This window comes from Homo sapiens, chromosome 1 (genome assembly GCF_000001405.40).
Source record: "Homo sapiens chromosome 1, GRCh38.p14 Primary Assembly".
Taxonomy (NCBI): Eukaryota; Metazoa; Chordata; class Mammalia; order Primates; family Hominidae; genus Homo; species Homo sapiens.
In genome coordinates, this window is record NC_000001.11 from 236,906,113 (window position 1) to 236,928,635 (window position 22,523).

General features: G+C 40.5%; 1 long non-coding RNA gene across 2 annotated transcripts; it reads left to right on the forward strand.

Moving 5' to 3' along the window:
• Nucleotides 1-6,570: 6,570 nt before the first annotated feature.
• Nucleotides 6,571-22,291, forward strand: LOC105373218 (uncharacterized). 2 transcript variants are annotated; one of them, XR_001738550.2, is made up of 3 exons: nt 6,571-10,808; nt 14,699-15,470; nt 17,728-22,291. It is a non-coding gene; the product is annotated as an uncharacterized LOC105373218 (long non-coding RNA). The 2 variants fall into 2 exon arrangements; XR_007066963.1 differs by having other exon boundaries at nt 7,119-15,470.
• Nucleotides 22,292-22,523: the final 232 nt, after the last annotated feature.

The window sequence follows — 22,523 nt, forward strand, 5'->3', positions numbered from 1 at the left end:
CCATCCAGAGGGATGGGTGTGCTTTTTTTTCTTTCTTTTTTTCTTTTTTTTTTTTTTTTTTTGAGATGGAGTCTTGCTCTGTCGCCCAGGCTAGGGTGCAGTGGTGCAATCTTGGCTCACTGCAACCTTGGCCTCCTGGGTTCAAGCAATTCTCCTGCCTCAGCCTCCTGAGTAGCTGAGGTTACAGGCACCCACCACCACGCTGGCTAATTTTTGTGTTTTTAGTAGAGACAGGGTTTCACCATGTTGATCAGGCTGGTCTCAAACTCCTGACCTCAAGTGATCCATCCACCTCGGCCTCCAAAATTGTGGGATTACAGGTGTGAGCCACTGTGCCCGGCCAAAGTCTGTTATTTTGTAGAGTTGATTGGTATTTGGTTATCAAGGCTGTGCTAAGATTTGCAGCGATAGAGGAATAAACATTTATGTCTGCCTTTTAAGCTTCTCTTCCAATGAGCTCAAATAGTGGTTATGATATTAGAGAGAGGAAATGCTGGCTGGACAAATTTCCTCTACTTTTGCTTTAGCTAAGATCCCCAAGAGGTGAAATATTTGCTGTAATATGGCATTTGTGCATTCATTCATATTATCTGTTCATTCATCAAATATGTATTGGGCTAGATCCTGTGCCAGGGCTGGACATACAATGCTAAGAAAGTAAAATTCCCCGCCCTCATGGAGAATAACATTCTTCACAGAGTTTGTGGGGAACAGACTCCCTCCAGTACCTTGTGTTTCTCAAGTCTTAAACTCATCCTCTGCTCTGGATTTAAAAGCAAAAGTGGCATCTCCGGGTCTCTCATGTAATATTTGGAGGAACATTACACTTCCCATGTATATTTCATGCCTCTTTCCCAAGATTTTACTGCTGCTTCTAAGGCAGCTAACAGTAGGTAGGAAACTTTGACCTCTCTTTCACTTTGCCCCTTTAGGACCTCCAGTTTTAGACTTCATCAAGCAAGCCTGGTTTCATTTCTTCTTGCTTAGCCTGATGAACCAGTGTGCTGTACACCACTGTTGGAAACACTGGTACAAAGTTCTGGTACAGAACTCTTTCTGAATATTAATCTCCTGTATTGCTATGCCAGAATCAGGTAAGAAGGGGTGTGTGTGTGTGTGCGCGTGCGTGCACGCACGTTTGTGTACTCACAAATGTGGGCACACCATTCTGTATGTTAGAAGGAAAGTCTGTGATTAGCTGTGAGCATAAACACAGCTAACCTGATTCCGGGTTGCTTCATGAATACAGATCCCAGAGCAGCTGTCAAGCTTTCCCCCTCCTTATCTCATCCCGACCTTTTGGGAACAAAAGTGCCCAGACATCTCCCCCTGCAGATTAACAAGCTGCACTTCAGAGGAGCATTTACTGATAAACATCTGCCTTCCAAAGAGAAACCATTTATTTAACAAGCTGCTCTTTAGAAATTTATAGTTGCAGCTTGCCTTCTTGCCATTGCTCTAAATCAAGATTCCCTTCTTTGTCCTCCTCTATTTTTCTTTACTAAAAATTTGCTTGTTGAGCATTGGTATAATTTCCAAGGAGTCAGTGTTCATGCTAACATAAATTTTTTTAAAAGCCCCAACTCGGTTTAAAATTACTTTTTTGTTCACTCATAAAGGATATTTATGAGTAAAATCTATAGAACCCAGTTTGTCGTATTAAACTGCCAGGCTGTGCCCTCAAATGCCCAGAAAAGAGAAATGCATTTAACCACCAAATCTCCAACAGACTTCATCCTTATCACTCTTTGGTTTTGTGTATGTTGACCTGCTCTTGGTCACTCTTGTGTTGTGTGTTTGAGGGTATAGATCATTTTGTAACTTTACTTACATTATAGGGTATATGTATTATCTCCCAGATTAAACTGTAGGATATTTAAAAGGGCAAGAACTCTCTCTTCCGCTTTCGTTGTATGTTTTAGAAGATCTAAAGAGTTTGAAGAGAGCAGATGTGATGTGTGTTAACTAATAGTCTGATGTGAAGTGCACAGTTGTGTGAGGGGACTCTGAGGTCAGACCTGTCTTTGATCTTTTCAGAAGACATGTATGTGATTAGCTGTAGTGCATAAATAGGGTTCCATGTTGTGTCATAAATGCCTCCCCTCTCATGCCTTCAAAAATCAGTCGCTGGGGGACCTTGGGCAGGTTGTATGCCCTCTCTACGAGGCAGCTTCCTCATCTGTAAATGACCATAGTGCTACCACTCACCTCACAGGACAGTGCAAGAAATCAATGCCTTAATCCACAGAAAGCTCTCAGCACAGGGCTTGGCTTTTAAAAGAAATCTTCATTAACTGAAGAACAATAATGAAGACCCTTGGGAGAGGTTTAATTTTTTCAATTCTTCAAAGCCATGCTTTACAGAAAAAGTGAATGCAACACCTCATCAAAATACCTCATTTGATAGACAATGTGTATAAATCTCCCTGTGAATGCCAGTAGCACAAGAGAAGTGTAGGGAGGGAAACTTGACTGTGGTGAGACTGGATATTTTCCAGAGGGAGCTGTAAACATTGCAGCTATAGACAGCCTTCCTGTTACAGATTTGACACCTTACAAATGGATTACTCTGCTCATTAGGATAATTATACCAGACATGCTGGATGGTTTAGTGGAACCCATCTCACACCTGGAAAAGCACCCCAAATACACTAAATTATACTTGCATTAATGTCTTAGTCCATTTGTGTTGCTATAAAGGAATACCTGAGGTGGGGTCGTTTATAGAGAAAAGAGGTTTATTTGGCTCATGGTTCTGCAGGCTGTACAAGAAGCATGGTGCCGGCATCTGCTTCTGGTGAGGCCTCAGGAAGCTTCCAGTCATGGAGGAAGGCAAGGGGAGCTGGCTTGTCACATATTAAGAGAGGGAGCAAGATAGAGGGGGAGGGAGGCACCAGGCTCTTTAATAACCAGATTTCCATGAAGTCACTCATTACAGCAGGGAGATACCAAGCCATTCATGAGAGATCCACCCCCATGACCCAAACACCTCCCACCAGGCCCCACCTCCAACATTGGGAGTCACATTTCAACATGAGATTTGGAAGAGACAAATATCCAAATTATATCAATTAAGAAAGCCAATTTTAAAACGTTGCATTTTTTATTATAAAACTTTTTTATCACAAAAAGCTTGTAAACTATATACAAGTATACAGAGAATATTTTCTTCCATTGTTTTTCATTTTCCTTCTCTCTTTTCTCCCGTCCATTCATGAGTGAGTAGGCTGAATAATGGCTTCCAAAGATATCGATGTCCTGGAGGACATCATGTTAAGTGAAATAAGCCAGGAATGAAAAGACAAATACCAATGATCTTGCTCAGATGTGGAATTGAAAAAAGTTGATCTCGTAGAAGTAGAGAGTAGAATAGAAGTTACAAGAGAATGGAACAGTTAGGGAGATGTTGGTAAAGGATAAAAAATTTCAGGTAGGAGGAAGATGGCTTTGAAGATGGAGGAAAGGGCCATGAGCCAAGGAATGCAGGCAGCTTCTAAAGGCAGAAAGCCAGGAAACAAAATTTTCCCCTAGATCCTCCAGAGAGAGAGTGTGGCCCTGCTGACACCTTAATTTCTGACTTGTTTCTCCAGAACTGTAAGAGAATAAATATGTGTTGTTAATAAGCCACCAAGTTTGTGGAAATTTGTTACACAGCAGTAATAGAAAATGAATACACCATAAAGCTATCAATTTTTATATCTATCAACCTACCTACCCATGTATCATCTTTTTTATATGACTGATATGTTATAGTATATATGTATATATCCATGTATTTTCATGTATATATTTTATTGTGGTAAAATACACACACATCTTGTTATGCAACCATCACCACCATCCATCTCTAGAACTCTTCATCTCACAAAACTAAATTCTGTACCAACTAAACAATAACCCTCCAATCCTCCCTCATGCCTGGCCTGGGGCAACCACCATTCTACCTTCCCTCTCTGTGAATCTCTGTGAATTTGACTACGTACCTCATATAAGTGGAATCATATGGTATTTGTCCTTTTGTGACTGGCTTGTTTCACTTAGTGTAGTGTTCTCAAGGTCCATCCGTATTGTAGCATGTGTCAGAATTCCCTTCCTTTTTAAGGCTGAATAATATGGATTGGCTTGTCCCTCTAGACATTTTTTTTCTGCCAGTCATACCACAGGGGTTATCAGCCTTAGATGGTTTTTTTATGTGAATCTTTCAGTGTAGGGATTTCCAGACCACAAAGTTGGTACCAATTTGAACAGCACATACAGGAGAAAAGGCCCATGGTTAGAATTCTCAGAGTAGTATTGATTTTAAAGACAGGTAGACGATTACCACATTTTCTTATCCATTCATCCATTGATGGACCCTTGGGTAGCTTCCACCTTCTGGCTATTTTGAACAATGCTGCTATGAACATGGGTGTACAAATGTCAGCTTGAGTCTCTGCTTTCATTTCTTGTGGGTTGGGTTTTTGAGAAATCATCATACTGTTTTCCACAGCTGCATCATTTTACATTCCTTCCAGCAGTGTCAAGTATTCCTTCCAATTTTGCCAGTGTTTATTATTTATTTGTTTGTTGTGAGACAGAGCCTCACTCTGTAGCCCAGGCTGGAGTCCAGTGGCATGATCTCTGCTCACTGCAACCTCCGCCTCCCAGGTTCAAGTGATTCTCCTGCCTCAGCCTCCCAAGTAGCTGGGATTACAGGCACCCAACCACCACGGCTGGCTCATTTTTGTATTTTTAATAGAGACAGGGTTTCACCATGTTGGTCAGGCTGGTCTTGAACTCCTGACCTCAGGTGATCTTCTCACCTCGGCCTCCCTAAGTGCTGGGATTACAGGCATGAGCCACCGGACCTGGCCTATTATTATTATTATTATTATTATTATATTAGCCATCCTAACAGGTGCGAAGTGCTATACCATTGTGGTTTCTGCATGTACGTATTTTGTGAATATATGTTTTAATAAGCCAATTACAAATTTGAATCAGAGAAGACCATAGGAATACAAAATTTAGAGAATTTTAATTTATAAAAAGGGAAGGCTATGTTCTTCAAATTTTGTAAGTTACTTTTTTATTCATACAAAGTATTTTATGTATTTATGGGGTACATGTATTTGTTCAATGCATAGAATGTGTCAAGTCAGGATATTTGGAGTATCCATCGCCTTGAGTTATTTATTTATTTATTTATTTGAGATGGAGTCTTGCTTTGTCGCCCAGGCTGGAGTGCAGTGGCGTGGTCTTGGCTCACTGCAACCTCCACCTCCCGGGTTCAAGCGATTCTTCTGCTTCAGCACCCCCCGAGTAGCTAAGATTATAGGCATGCGCCACCATGCCTGGCCAATTTTTGTATTTTTGGTAGAGATGGGGTTTCACCATGTTGGCCAGGCTGATCTCAAACTCCTGACCTCACGTGATCCGCCTATCTCAGCCTCCCAAAATGCTGGGATTACAGGCGTGAGCCACTACGCCTGGCCCACCTTGAGTATTTATTACGTCTATGTGTTGGTAACATTTCAAGTCCTCTCTTAATAGATACTTTGAAATATACAATCCCTTGTTGCTAACTATAGCCACCCTACCCTGCAGCTGAACACTGTGGCTTATTTGTTCTGTCTCACTGTATATTTGTACCCACTAACCAACCTCTCTTTATTCAAACCCCTCCAACCCACACCCCCTTCCCAGCCTCTAGTGTCTATCATTCTGTTCCCGATCTCCATGACATCAGTTGTTTCAGCTCCCCATGAGTGAGAACAATAGATATGTATATTTTTAATTCATTTTTTTCCATTCAGTTTTATATCAGTCTTCAAATTTTTTAAAATGCCTATAGAACAATCTATTTTAAACACGTACTGTAATTTATGTAACCATTTTTTTTGTAGAACATTAGGGCATTTTCAACTTTTTAGCATTGTAGGTTACAATAGTGTGAGTATAATTGAACACTAACCCTTTATTCATATGTCTGAGAATTTCCTAAGAATGAATTACTCAAAGCAGCATTACATTTAAAACCGTTGGTATGCTTAAGCAGATTGCTTTCCCAAAGGGTGTTTCAGTTAGCAGACAGTGAGCATGCTGGGTAGCACATCTTTTCAACACACTTGCTCAGGTGCAGAGTATCTCCAGAATACAGATGAGGACACCTGTGAACTTGAAGCACCACAGTAGCAGAATCCACTTGCTTATTTGAGTATTTGGGGGCAAATAGTCTCATTTTTTGGTGTTTTTTTTTTTTTTTTTTTTTTTTTTGAGACAGAGTCTCACTGTGTCGCCCAGGCTGGAGTGCAGTGGAATGATCTTGGCTTACTGCAACCTTCACCTCCAGGGTTCAAGTCATTCTTCCACCTCAGCCTCCTGAGTAGCTAGGACTACAGGTGTGCATGCCCATGCCTGGCTAATTTTTTTTTTTTTTTTTTGAGACTGAGTCTCACTCTGTCGCCCAGGCTGGAGTGCAGTGGCGCGATCTTGGCTCACTGAAAGCTCTGCCTCCCGAGTTCACACCATTCTCCCCCCTTAACCCTCTGAGTAGCTGGGACTACAGGCGTGCACCACCACACCCAGCTAATTTTTTGTATTTTTAGTAGAGACGGGGTTTCACCGTGTTAGCCAGGGTGGTCTCGATCTCCTGACCTCTTGATCCGCCCGCCTTGGCCTCCCAAAGTGAGTTTTTGTATTTTTAATGGAGATGAGGTTTCACCATGTTGGTCAGGCTGGTCTTGCACTCCTGACCTCAGGTGATCTGCCTGCCTCTGCCTCCCAAAATGCTGGCATTACAGGCATGACCCACGATGCTTGGCCTCAATTGTCTTCAAAATCAACAATCCTATATTGAAAAGTGAGGCCAGGCACAGTGGCTCATGCCTGTAAACCCAGAACTTTGGGAGGCCAAGGTGGGTAGATCGCTTGAGGTCAGGAGTTCAAGACCAACCTGGCCAACATGGTGAAACCCCATTTCTACTAAAAATACAAAATTAGCTGGATGTGGTGGTATGCACCTGTAATCCCTGTTACTCTGGAGGCCGAGGCAGGAGAATCACCTGAATCCAGGAGTAGGAGGTTGCCATGAGCTGAGACTGGGCCACTGCACTCCAGCCTGGACAACAAGGTGAGACCCCGTCTCAAGGCAAACAAACAAATAAATAAATAAATAAAGACAATTGAACCTGATTTTTCCCTTAGATTCTCCAGAGAAAGAACTTCTATATGGAAAGAGGCAGATTGCTGGAAGGAGTAAATAATTCACAGACAACTCATAAGCCCTGAGCTCTGGTCTGTCTCTGCCAATTAAATGCTGTGGAACTTTTGGGTAAGTCATTTAAAATATCTGGGTTTCAGATGATTCAGTTACATATGAGTGGGTCCAACCCTCGAATCTTCTCACTTGTCTTAGTGATGATGAGCTAATGATGTCTGGTGGAGCCTCATCTGTTGAGATTTTGGAGGTGTGGGTTAAAGTTGTGTCCCTCAAAGCATTTCTTCCTCTCAGGCATACCAGAGGTGAGATTCACAGACCACAAAGATAGTATGAATTTAAACTGCAAATGCAGGAGAAAATGATTCATAGTTAGAATTCTCAGAGTAATATTGGTTTTAAAGACAATGTAACCTAGAGGACAAGATGAGACCAGAAAGCTCTCTTGTCACACCTCTTTGCCAGTGGGTGGATGTTATTCCTAATCTACCCTTTTACTGAAGTATAAGCCTTTGAGGGTGCTGATACTAGATAACTTACACTCTAGCTTCCTACTATAGATTCAAGGCTTTATCTCCTGTCCTCACATGGCTGTTAAAATAGTAGCCCCTCAGTTATCAAGTCCAGCAACATTTATCAGGGCAGTCTGAGCTGCATTTCTGTTTCATTTCTGGCTTTGCCCCGAGGGATTTCTCTTACTTTCTTGCATGTTCAGTTATATATTTAAAAGCATGTTTATTATATTTTGTCCATCATTTCCAGGTGTTTTTTGATAGGAGGGTTCTCAGTTAATTTACTATATTGCCATAAATGGAAGTCAGCCCTCTAAATTCTATGATTCTGTGACTATTAACCTCTTTTCTCCCATTGAGCTAATTTGGATATTTATCTTATTTCATCTTGATTCATTGGGTGTTCTGACTCCATGGTGTGTTGGAAATATCCTCAGTTCTCTTGGAGGAATATTAATAAGAAATTGCATAAGTGAACCAAAAAAACCTAAAAGCTAATGGCTGTAACTTTGATATTTACATGTTGGGGCTGACCCTAGCATGGAGATATTCAATTGTCCTCCCTCTAATATTTCAGCCTATGCCATGATACAGACCATTAAGGTCACTTGTGTTGCTTTACTCGGCAAGTATAACTTGTGATATACTTGTAATATTGTGAAAGATTAAACTTAAATGGCAATATTAAATGTCAGCAAAAGTTAAATCAGTGGTGTACTAAAGAGACTCCAGTTCTATCTAATGCCTAACATAGGGAAGGTCTGACTGCCCTTTGGACTGGATATGATCTTGGGTTTCTTAGACATTGGAGGCTGAGGTACCTTATCTACTGCCTCACAGTTCTGGAGGCTCTACAGCTGCTATTAACATGTCAGTAGGGTTGGTTTCTTCTGAGACCTCTCTCCTGGGCTTGCAGGTGGCCATCTTCTCCCTGTGTCCCAACGTGGTCTTCCCTCTTTGTGTGTCTGTGCCCTAATCTTTTTTTCTTATAAGGATACCATTCAGATTGGATTAGGATCCACTCGTATAACCTCATTTTACCTTAGTTATCTAAAGACCCTATTTCCAAATACAGTCATGTTTTGAGGTACTGGGTGGTAGGACTTCAATATTTGAATTTGAGGGGACAAAATTCACCCTTCAGGAATGTAAAAGGTGGTCTGCTAATAGGCCTATGGATTATCAAGTCATTTTTTTTTTAAAGATAAGTGATTGTATTTCTTTCTAGAGCTATTACAGTGGTTCATACTGGCTTAACTTTATTATTCTCTTCCATCAATTTTCTAATTTAATAAAAGTTAAAACCTTCTATTATGAAAAATTTCAAACTCTCACAAAAATAGAGTAAATAGTATAATGAATTCAGTGTCCTCACTGCCTAGTATTATGGGTTGAATTGTGTTTCCCAAAAATTCATATGATGAAGTCCTAACCCCCAGCACCTCAGAATGTGACTGTATTTGGAGATAGGGTCTTCAGATAATTAAGGTAAAATGAGGTCCATGAGTGGACCTAATCCAACCTGACTGGTATTCTTACAAGAAGAGGAGATTAGGACACAGACACACACAGAGAGAAGATCATGTGGGGACATAAGAAGATGGCCATCTACAAGCCGAGGAGAGGGGCCTCAGAAGAAACCAATGCTGCTAACATCTTGCTATCAGTTACCTAGCCCCCAGAACTGTGAGACAGTACATTCTGTTTTTTAAACCACAGAAGACACGTATTGCATGACTATTTTTTTTAAGTCCAGAATAGGCAAATCTGTAGAGATAGAACATAGATAAGTGATTGCATAGGGCTTATAAGTTGGAGGTAATTGGAAAGTGACTGCCAGTGGGTATCAGGTTTCATTTTGGGGTAATGAAAATGTTTGAAAATTGACTGTTGTGATGGTTGCCCAACTCTATAAATATACTACAAAACATTGCACTATACAAATTAAATGTGTGCATTGTATGATGTGAATTAAATTCCAGTAAGCCTGTTTTTAAAGACTCAAAGAAAATTAAAGAATGACTGAAAACTTTCCAAGTTTGATGAAAATTATAATGCTACAAATCCAAGAATCTCAAAAAACCTTAAGCACAAGAAAGGTTAAGAACATGACCCCACGCCGGGTGCGGTGGCTCATGCCTGTAATCCCAGCACTTTGGGAGGCTGAGGCGGGTGAGCCACTTGAGGTCAGAAGTTCGAGACCAGCCTGACCAACATGGAGAAACCCTGTCTCTACTAAAAATACAAAATTAGCCAGGTGTGGTGGCACATGCCTGTAATCCCAGCTACTTGGGAGGCTGCCGCAGGAGAATTGCTTGAACCGGGAGGCAGAGGTTGTGGTGAGCCAAGACTGTGCTATTGCACTCCAGCCTGGGTGACAGAGCAAGACTCCAACAAAACAAAAACAAAAACAAAAACAAAAAAAGAAACAAAAACAAAAACACATGACCCCAAAGCGCAACATCATCAAATTGCTTAAAATTAGTGATTTGGGTCCTCTGGAATTAAAAGAAAAGAGAGAGAGAAACTAGTGATAAGAAGAAAGCAGTCAGAGGGAGTTGGGGAATGACGTTGTTTACGGAAGGATGACAACAGATTTCTTCTCAGAAAAAATGTAAACCAGAAGACAGTGGTACTACATTTTTGAAGTTTAAGTGCTGCTTGACTTATGATGGGGTTATGTTCCAAAAAACTCATCATAAATTGAAAATATCATGTCTAAAATACACTTTCAACTTACATTTTTGATTTATGATGTGTTTATCTAGACATAATTCCATCATTAGTCAAGGAATGTACTGAATGTGTTTCACTTTTACACCATCATAAAATTAAAAAGTCGTAAGTCAGGGAAAATCTGTACTGCAAGAAAAACACTGTTAACCTAGATATCTTTGCCTAGTGAAAATATCTTTCAGAAATGAAGATGAGATAAAGGCTTTTCATACCAACAAAAGTGGAAAGAATTCATCATAAGAAGACTTGAGTGAGAAGAAATGCTAAGAAAGCTCTTCAAGTAGAAGAAAATGATACCAGATGGAAATCTGGATCTCCACAAAGGAACAAAAAGTATTGAGAATGGGAACTATCCTATGTGGGTAAATATGAGGGTTTTTAAAATTATTTAAATCTCTTTAAAGTGTTTCTCAGTCTTTTTAATTTTATTCTCTGACGAAGCATTTTTAGACCTTTTTCCCCAACCAAATTCTCCCCACCTTCTGCATAAAATTTTAATACCACAGATATACCATGTATTTGTTTATGTTCTGTGGCCTTTTGGGGAAATACAAGCCATTGTAATATTGAACATTTTTTTCAGTCTCCAAGAACTTTATTTTTATTTTTTTGCCCCTTGGTGGGTAGGAGTGGGCAATATAACCCCATTGAGAATGCAGGCTTTAAAGCAGAATTGGTTGTTTAAAGAGAAAATGACAAATTATTGTGTGTTTTATGACATATGTGGAAGTAAAGTATATGGCAACAATAGCACAAAGCTGAGAGAAGAAGAATTGAAGTATGTTCTTATACTATTTGTGAAGTGATGTAATATCACTTGAAGGTAGACTGTGATAACATAAGATGTATAGTATAAACCCTAAAACAAACACTAAAATAACACAAGAGGAGGTATTGCTAATACAACAACAAAGGGGGTAAAATTAAATAATAAAAAACCTGAATCCAAAAGAAGGAATAAAAAGAGTAAAGGGAGCAAAGAACAGATGGGACATAGAGAAAATGAGTAGCTATATGGCAGATTTAAATCTAACCATATCAATAATTATATTAAATATAAATGGTATAAATACCCCAATTCAAATGCAGAGATTGTCAGATTGGACTAAAGAACAATACTTTGCCATATGCTGCCAACAAGGAACCCACTTTAAGTATAAGAAACAGCTTAGTTAAAACAAACAAACCACTATTGCCATCTATCAAGAATCCCTTCATATTATTTTATTTATTAATTTTTTTTAATTTTTAATTTTTTTTTTGAGACGGAGTCTTGCTCTGTCACCCAGGCTGGAGTGCAGTGGCATGATCTCTGCTCACTGCAACCTTCACCTCCTGGGTTCAAGTGATTCTTCTGCCTCAGCCTCCTGAGTAACTGGGATTACAGGCGTGCACCACTGCACCTGGCTAATTTTTGTACTTTTAGTACAGACGGGGTTTCAACATGTTGGTCAGGCTGGACTCAAACTCCTGACCTTGAGATCCGCCCGCTTCGGCCTCCCAAAGTGCTGGGATTACAGGTGTGAGCCACCATGCCCAGCCTATTTATTTATTCATTTTAAGATAGGGTCCTGCTCTGTTGCCCAGGCTGGAGTGCAGTGGTGCAATCTCGGCTCACTGCAACCTTTGCCTCCTGGGTTCAAGCAATTCTCCTACCTCAGCCTCCCGAGTAGCTGGGATTACAGGAGCGCGCCACCACGCCCGGCTAATTTTTTGTATTTTTAGTGGAGATGAGGCCTTGCCATGTTGGCCAGGTCGGTTTCAAACTCCTGACCTCAGGTGATCCATCTGCCTTGGCCTCCCAAGTGCTGGGATTACAGGCATGAGCCACAGCGCCTGGCCTGTTCTTACTTTTAAATCTTGTACTATGTACATCTTTCTGAGCTTCATCAAGTCCTTTCTGGAATGAGGCAAGATTTATGAGTGATACTTCAGATGAAACATAATAGATTTAAACACTTATTTCAGAAAGGAATAAAGACTTACGTGTCAATATGAAAAAATGAAGGAAGATAAAGCAATAGATTAAATCAAAAGAATGTAGGAGAGAAAACATAAAAATAAGAGCAAACACTGATTTTTTAAAAAACAACACATCCTAGAACAAAGCCCAAATTTGGTCTTTAAAAGAGACTGATAAAATAGTCAGCTATCTGGTGAGATTGGTAAAGAAAAAAATGGTAATATTGAGGTGAGAAAAAGGGATATAACTATAGATACAACCAAAATTAAAAGAAGATAAGAAAATACTGTGAACAGCTTTATGGTGATAAATTTGGAAACTTAGACAAAATGGATAAATTCTTAGAAAAATATGACCTATAGGGAAACTGTCTCAAAAACAGAAATAGTAAGACTGACTAGCTCAATATATATATAAGGAAAATAAATGAAAGTAGTAGTTAAAATTTTTTACCCAAATAAAACACCGTGCCCAGATGATTTTTACAGGTAAGTTCTAAAAAGCTTTCAAGGAACACATTGTTCTAATCTTAGACTTAGTTTTCTAGAGCATAATAAAAGATCAAATATTCTCCAACTCATTCTATTAGCTTAATTTAGTCTTGATGGCAAAATCAGGCAAGCCCAGCAGAAGAAAAGAAAAAATCTAATTGCAACTTTAGCAAAGATGAAATTCTAAACCAGTGATAGAAAATAGAATCCAGTCATAAATGTAATAAAAGGTACTGTATCATAATCAATCTAGATTTATTCCAGTAATGAAAGAATAGTTTAATATTAGTGTGATGGCTAATACTGAGTGTCAACTTGATTGGATTGAAGGATACAAAGTATTGATCCTGGATGTGTCTGTGAGGGTGTTGCCAAAGGAGATTGACATTTGAGTCAGTGGAGTGGGAAAGGCAGACCCACCCTTGGGTGGGCACAGTCCAATCAGCTGCCGGCATGGCTAGAATATAAGCAGGCAGAAAAATGTGAAAAGAGAGAGACTGGCGTAGCCTCCCAGCCTACATCTTTCTCCCGTGCTGGATGCTTCCTGCCCTCGAACACTGGACTCCAAATTCTTCAGTTTTGGAACTCAGACTGGCTCTCCTTGCTCCTTAGCCTGCGGTGGCCTACTGTGGGACCTTGTGATTGTGTGAGTTAACAATCCTTGATAAACTCCCCTTTTATATATACCTATTCCATTAGTTCTGTCCCTCTAGAAAACCCTAATACAATTAGGAAAGCACATCTCACACACACACACACACACACACACACACACACACGACTTTATAAAATTAAGAGATGAAAGGGGAAAAATGATATGATCATATTAATAGATACAGAAAAATTAAATAATGCTTTTTAATGATAAAAATATAGAAAACTAAGAATATTAAAGAATATCCTTGATCTGATAAAAGCTATCTATTAAAAAGCCACATAAAACACCAATCTTTTTTTTTTTCGATTCAGGAGGTACATATGCAAGTTTGTTACATGAGTATATTGTGTGATGCTGAAGTTGGGCTTCTATTGATCCTACCACCCACATTGTGAATATAGTACCCGATAGGTAGTTTTTCAACCCTTGCTCGTTCCCTCCCTCCCCTCTTTTGGAGTCCCTAGTGTCTGTTGTTCCAATCTTGCCCAAAACATCCATCTTAATGAACAACCTAATAAACATTCTCATTAAAAGAAAAGTCAAGTTACTTAAACATTGAATTGGTCCTATCCAGTGCAGTTAGACAAGAAAAATATTTAAGTCATAACCTATGCTTCTAACTAGGACAAATTAGGTTACAGTGAACTGAAGCTTTCCTACAAAACAACTAGAAAGATTGTTTTTTGAAAAAACTGAAAGCATCACAAACTATCTGAGGCAAACAGACCCTATCAGCCACGATCCCTAGAGAAGAACACCACAGTGAGGAAAGCCAACCTCATGCTGTCTTTTTTCCCTCCAAGTATTTGCCAGTTGTTGGTCATGGGAGGCGGGAAGATGAGATTCTGGGCAGAAGGCCTAGGCAGAAAGCTGCTGCTAAGAAGAGAGATGCCTGCTGAAATGTTGGCAATCTTAAAGGACTAGAAAGACAGAAATTGGAGTTTAGGGCTAATAAGTCTTTGGAATTTGGAGTGGAAGGGAGCAGAAATCCTGGTCACAAGGGAGGCACAGCACATTTTTGCCCAACAAACCGCTCTTTGTCTTTCTAGGGATTTGTTGACTTTTTGAATTCTTAAACTGCTTTTGAAGCAAAGCAGAAAACTCCCAATGGGTAAAGCAGAGTTTTCTTCCTTCTCACAGTGCTGGGGATGCCAGAGTTGGAATTCAAGACCCAGGGAGAAGGGCTTCAGTCAGCACTCCAGTACCTCAGCTGGGAATCCTGGAGGCTATACCCTATGTATGGGGAAAATGAGAGGTAGATGGAAACTAAAAAACAAACAAACAAACCAGTCCCTGATTAGTTGTGACTTTATCTGCCTACCAGAAAATAGGACTAGCCCTCTCTGGAAGATGATAGCATTATCCAGAACCTCATACACAAAATTTACCCAGGACACTCATGAAGAGGAGGAAGAAAAGACAACATAAACAGACATACAGGTCACCTACTTATTGGAGTTAACAGATGGATGTTCAAATCTGTATTATTCTTATATTCAAGAGAATGAATGACAAAGAGTAGAATTCCACTGGAGAACTAGTTAACCAAGGCTAGATGGCTTCATTGAAAGACTTTGTCAAGCATGAATAAAGCCACTATAAATATTCTTGCACAAGTCTCTTTGTGAATACATTTTTATTCCTTTAGGTAAACGCCTAGCGGAGGAATTGCTGGGTCATACATAGGGTAGGAGTATTATAACCTTATAAGAAACTGTCAAATGGTTTCCAAAATGGTTTCACCCATTTATATTCCCACAGACTTTATTCATAATAACCAATCCTGAGGGAAAATCTATAATGTTCGTCAAAAGAAGGAAATCCTGGCTGTGCCTATAATCACAGCATTCTGGGAGGCCAAGGCAGGAGGATCACTTGAGCCCGGGAGTTCAAGACCAGCCTGTGCAACATAGTGAGATATCGTCTCTACAATTTTTTTTTTAATTAGCGGGGTGTGTTGACACACACCTGTGGTCCCAGCTACATGGAAGGCTGAGGTGGAGGATTGCTTGAGCGCAGGAGGTCAAGGCTGCAGTGGTTTATGACCACACCAGTCCACTCCAGCCTGGGTGACAGAGCAAGACCCAGTCTCAAAAGAAAAAAGAAGGAAATCCTGTCATTCATGACATCATGGATGAAACTTCAGGGCATTATTCTAAGTGAAATAAGCCAGTCATAGAAAGACAAATACTGCATGATCTCACTTAGATGTGTGATATGGTCTGGCTCTGTGTTCCCACCCAAATCTCACCTTGAGTTGTAATTCCCATGTGCTGGGGGAGGGACCTCATGGGAGGTGATTGAACCATGGGGCGGTTCCCCTGTGCTGTTCTCATGATAGTGAGTGAGTTCTCATGAAATCTGATGATTTTGTGAGGGGCTTTTCCCCCCTTCGATCTGCACTTCTCTTGGTCTTCTCCTTCTTGCTGCCATGTGAAGAAAGACATGTTTGCTTCCCCTTCTGCCATGATTGTAAGTTTTCTGAGGCCAAGCCCTGGGGAACTGTGAGTCAATTAAACCTCTTTCCTATATAAATTACCCAGTCTCGGGTATTTCTTCATAGCTGCGTGAGAACAGACTAATACAATGTGGAATCTAAAAGAGTCAAGTACACAGAAGCAGAGAGTAGCATGGTGGTTGCCAGAGGCTGCAGGGAGGAGGAAATGGGGAGCATTTGACAGGTGGAGCTCCAGTTAAGCAGGATGACTGTGCTCTAGAGATCTGCTGTATAATGTAATGACTATATTTAGCCATACTACATTGTACACTCAACAGTTTGTTAAGAGGGTAGATAAAAAATTTGTTAAGAGGGTAGATCTCATGATAAGTCTTCTTACCACAAAAACAAAAACAAAACCAATGTCCATTGACAGGAAAATGGGTAAACAATTCATGGAATATTCATACCCTGGAATACTATTCAGCAGTAAAAGGAATGAAACAACTGATCTAGACCCAACAGTATGAACAAATGTCAAACTCACTCTGTTGGGCAAAAGAGCCCAAATGTAGAAGAACACATAATTTCATGATTTCATTCATATGAAGTACAAGAATAGGCTGAAATAAAGTCAGATGCAGTGACTTACGCCTGTAATCTCAGCACTTTGGGAGGCCAAGGTAGGGGAATTGCTTGAGGCCAGAAGTTCAAGACCAGCCAGAGCAACATAGTGAGACCCTGCCTCTACAAAAGTTGAAAAAATAACCAGGCATGGTGGTGTGTGCCTATAATTCTAGCTACTCTGAAGGCTGAGGCAGGAGGATTACTTGAGGCCAGGAGTTCAAGGCTGCAGTGAGCCATGATTGTGCCACTGTACTCCAACCTGGGTGACAGAGCTAGACCCTGTCTCTAAGAAAAAAAAAAAGAAGAATAGGCTGAAGTGTTCTACAGTGATAGACTTCAGAACGGTTATCTGTGGGAGTTGGGGACTGACTGGAAGAGGACATAAGAGCAATTTTGGGGATAATAGAAATGTTCCATGTATCTTGGTTGCAGTAATAATTCTATGAGGTATATATTTATCAAACCTCAATGAATTGTACACCTAAGATATCTGCATTGCACTTTATGCAAATTTAACCTCAAGAAGAAAAATAATTTCAACAATATCGAACTCTAGTTAATAGGCTTGCTTTTCTCAGTGGCTTGGCTTAGCAATTCTAAAACTATTGTAGATATTTCTCTCTGTTGGAGGAAGTAGTTACAAACATGGAAAGGAGAAAAGACCATTGCCAAAGCCAGCATTCTCTGGTATTTCTTTAATCCGAATTTCTTAAAAAATTCTAGAATTTGGAAACATTTTGGACAAATGGGAATTCATTGTAAAAATAGATTAGAATCTTAATACTTACATCTTTGATATGTCAGTTCTCACTTAACATTAATTTCAAGACCATATCCTAGATGTCTAATAGATTTTGCTTTACGTTGGAGTTTCCAAAGAATGCCTTTTAGAAATCCTTTCCTATAAAAAGAAACAGTGGTTTTTCAAAATATGTACATAGAACAAAAGGACTTCCCTGTCAAAATAGGCAGGGTCCTCGGTGAGACCTAAATATTCTGCTGTTTCTACTTTAAGCCTCTTAGCTGCGTTTCTGTTTCTATAGAGCAAGAGCAGATCCCAGAAAAGTAATTTTTCTTCCTTTGTTGAAACTTCTTTATCTGGCAGAAAATGGTAACTCATCAAACCTGCAGCAGAAGGCAACTTTTCAACTCTCAGTCAATTTGATCAACATTCAGCATCCATCAAATGAAGGATTGGGAGTGATAACCTTAAAAAATCCTGCTAGGCTGCTGGTTATTGATTCTCTGTTCAGCCTGATGGATGAAGATGCAAAGGCAACAAGTGAAAGTGCAAACCTGGCTGCCGGCCTCCTTCATACCACGTTAGGTTAGGCAGGACTTGTGTCTGAAAAGCACCATTGTTAGTTTTACCAAAAATGCACTGCTGTCATCACGACCAATCAGAATGTCACCCTAGCTGGAGATCTGCTCCTCCTGGCCTTTCCTTGGGATTTTCAGAAAAGCTCAGAAAACAATTTACAATAAAACTTAATTACTTTTAGCCTGGCTGTTTGCGATCCACTATGATTGGAACTATTTTGGGGATGACGTGTGCAATTTATGCTAAGAAGAAAACACTAGGTGTGATAGTAGTATGAAGGAACTTGTAGGAAGGGTTTAATTTATTGTAGAGATTAAGTTCTTTTTGAGGTCTTTAGAAGCATTGATTCATATTAAAATAATAAATGTGCTAATTATAGTTGAATCGTTTCAACTCATTAAGCCAGTACCGCAAGACCTCTCATTAGCCATGCGACATGAGTGGTTAAGAATGATTATGGGTGGTGTCCAAGGACTCCAATAGTCAATCAGCTGGTGCACGGCTGGGCTAACCTTGAATAACATCACAAAGCAATAGATCCTTCTGGCAGCGTCCTTCTCCCTAAATCCCGCCCCCAGCCCCATAAGTGTTCAATGCCCTTAGGTTTTCTGCCTCTTAACACCTCTGAGAGGTTTCCCTGGCCAGTTGCCTTAAGAAGGATCAAGTTAATGAGCTGTGCTTTATGACGGCACTTGCACCATCCTGTTATAATAATTTATTTAGATTTCTATCCCTACTAGACTGTAAATTCTAGTCAATAATTTTTATTGAATTAATGTATAAAGAATGCTATAAATAACTTATACTAGTTTATCTAATTCAAAGTCATTAAAATTTAATAAACTAGATTGGAAGTTCCTGGTAGACAGAGTAAGTATTATTTAAGTTGCAGCCCTGGGATATAAGACAATATCTGACACAAAATGGTCACTTAACAAATAGTAAAGAAACAATGGTGATGGTCTCTTACCTGCAAAGGAGCAAGCTTTATGGGAGATTTTTTTTTTTTTTTTTTTTTTAAGAGATGGAGTCTTGCCGTGCTGCTTAGACTGGACTTGAACTCCTGGGCTCAAGCAATCTTCCCACCTCAGCCTCCTGAGTAGCTGGGACTCCAGGTGCATGCCACTGCACCTTTATGAGAGAATTCTGACCTTAGAGGGGGTAGACTATTAGATGGGCATCTTTCCAGTTGCCGTGGGGTTGTGGCCTCTCACTGGGAGCTCCAAAAGGGGAAACAGTCGTGTGAGTGACCCCCTTTAACTCAGACCTAGCAGAGCCATGGCAAACAGCTGGACGACAGTAGTGAGTCTCCTGTCACTGGAAGTGTCCAAGGAAAGTCAGGTTGCATCAAAGTTGCTGGACCAGGGTCCCTTTTTGAGTGGATTACATGAGCTCCGTGGTTCTGTGGATGGGGCACTTATTTACTCCTTCATTCACAGAGTGACAAAAGTGAACTGTCATTGTCATCTGTCCATGGCTCAGCATTACCAAAGAAGCAATGAGAACATTTTCCAACGCAGAGCGTGAAATGCTTGTTGCAGCTAGCTGGAATGCTCAAGCACACAAATCAATTTCCATGTTAATTAGTATCTGCTGTACACCGTGAAAATGGAAAGAGCCACAAAACCAAAGTTACATAACTAACTTCCAGCTGCAGCCTGTGTCACCTGAAAATCCTTTTAGTAACTTTGTTCTGAGGATATCTTGCCTGTCTGAGAAACTGTGAACAAACAGATTCAGGTAAACAATAAGAAAAGATTTTGAAATCTCTCTTCCTGTAAGAGGATGTAATTTGGCTGCATGTTGTATATTTACTTGAGCTGATTGAAAGAGGAAAAAAGAAACTCATCTGGTACCATGCAAATCAGCTCATGAAACATCCAGAGGGTGTGATATTTTTACAAAACAGTCCAGCCAGTTTACACTGTTGATTTAGGAAAAAATACATTCTTTCACCTTCATTCTAAGTTAAAGGTTTGTTTTGAAAATGGAAGGAAACTCATGCTTCACTCATGCTCCTGTCCAGCATTGACATGGAGGCAGTGGAAAAAAGAAAGAAAGGAAGAGGTGATGAAGGTACCTTTAAAGATGTGATGCTGATCATGAGGGCGCCGCGGGGAAGAGAGTCTGCTTCCCTCTGTCTCAACCCTCTCTCAGCTTCTTACCACTTCATCCTCTGCCAGTAGGGACAACATCTTCCCCAAAACCTTTTTAAGTAGGAGGTTTGAGCAAAGGATAACTTAGGCACACATCTGGAGGACTGTGGGGAGTGGTGTGTGTGTGCACTGAGAATAACCACGTAAACTCTAAGGATTTTCCAAGTTCTAACATTTTTATTTCATCAGAGAGAGAAGATTTTCTTAAACGACTGTGAGGACACCATAGAGGTATGAGATATGGTTTGGCTGTGTCCCCACCCAAATCTCATCTTGATTTAATTCCCACATGTTGTGGGAGGGACCCAGTGGGAGATAATTGAATCATGAGGGCTGCTTCCCGTATACTGTTCTTGTGGTAGTGAATAAGTCTCACAGGATCTGATGGTTTTATAAGTGGTTTCTGCTTTGGCTTGGCTCTCATTCTTTCTCGTCCATTACCACGTAAGACATGCCTTTCACCTTCTGCCATGATTGTGAGACCTTCCCAGCCACGTGAAACTGCGAGTCCATTAAACTTCTTTTTTCTTTATAAATTACCCAGTCTTGAAAATGTCTTTATCAGCAGTATGAAAACGGACTAATACAGAAGGCGGGAGGAGGTGACAGGTGTGCACTCCTGTGCTGGACAGGGGGAGAAATATGTGCATGTGGATGAGAGTGAGTAAGCATGAAGGAAAACAAAATAACAAAGAGAAATGCGTGATGATGGTTGGGGAACTTGTGGAGACTGAGAAGATAAAGGAGAGGACTGGATGTACAGTTAACCATTGGACATCTCTGGGGTTAGGGGCACTGATCTCCTTGCAGTGGAAAGTCCATGTATAACCTTTGACTCTCCCAAACTTAACTATTAATAGCCTACTGTCGACCAAAACCTTACTGAAAACATAAGCAGTTGATTAAAAACATATCTGGGGCTGAGCATAGTGGCTCACGCCTGTAATCCCAGCACTTTGGGAGGCCAAGGCGGGCCGATCACCTGAGGTCAGGAATTTGAGACCAGCCTGACCAATATGACGATACCCCCATCTCTACTAAAACTACAAAAATTAGCCAGGCGTGGTGGCATGCGCCTGTAATCCCAGCTACTTGGGAGGCCGAGGCAGGACAATCACTTGAACCTGGGAGATGGAGGTTGCAGTGAGCCGAGATTGCACCATTGCACTCCAGCCTGGGCAACAAGAGTGAGAAAACAAAACAAAACAAAACAAAAACCATATTTGGTATATGTATTATATACTGTATCCTTATAATAAAGTAAGCTAGAGAAAAGAAAATTTTATTTAAAAATCATCAGGAAGAGAAAATATATTTCCTATTAAGTGGAAGTGGATTACCATAAAGGTCTTCATTCTCATCATCTTCATGTTGAGTATGCTGAGGAGGAGGAGGAGGAAGAGGAAGAGGAGGGGTTGGTCTTGCTGTCTCAGGGGTGCCAGAGGCAGAAGAAAATCTGCATATAAGTAACGTGTGTTGTTTAAGACTCAACTGTCCATAGGAAGAACTTTCATATTTGGAATTGTCTCACTTGATTACGGAGATTGAGAAGTCCCATGATCTGCCACCTGCAAGCTGGAGAAGCAGGGGAGTGGGTGGATAATTCAGCCCAAGTCCAGAGACCAGGGCAGGGGCACTGAGGGCAGGAGAAGATCTATGCCCTGGTACTCAGGCTGGAAGGAAAAGGGGTGAATTCCTCTTTCCTCCATCTTTTTGTTCTATCCAGGCTCTCAAGGGATTGGATGGTGTCCACTCATATGGGGGAGGGCCATCTCCTTTACTGAGCCCACTAAATCAAATGCTAATCTCATCTAGAAACACCCTCACAGACATCCAGAAACAATGTTTAATCTGGGCACCCTGTAGTGCAGTCAAGTTGATATGTAAATTTAACCATCACACCCTCCAACTTGATTCAGGTCTCTACTCAAATGTCATCTCAGACATTACCTACCAACCCCTAAAAGGGCAACTCCTCTCTCTGCCTGCTCAGTCACAGTCTAGCTCCCTAATATGCCTTCTTCATAACACGTCACTACCCGATACTATGTTATGTGTTGAATGATTGTCTGCCTCCTTTACTACAGAGGCAGGTCCATGAGGCAAAGACTGTTTTGTTAATAGCTGTCTCCAACACCTAATGTCCAGTGCATAATCAGAGTTCAATAAATATTTGTTGAATGAATATATAATTGAATGGTTGTCATGTGTACATATTTGCTCCCCTTCCTCTCAGTTTTTGTGTCTGAACCTCCTTCCCTGCCTCACACGGTGCCTAGCATTTGGGAAGTGACAAAGTGCCTAGAAAGAAAAGCAGCTGTCCTCTTCCTTGCTCCTTTTATCTTCCAGCCACTGAGAGATTAACTTTTAACTCTCTAGTAGTTACTCCAGGACTACTTAAGTAATGATTGTGTCATGACCGAA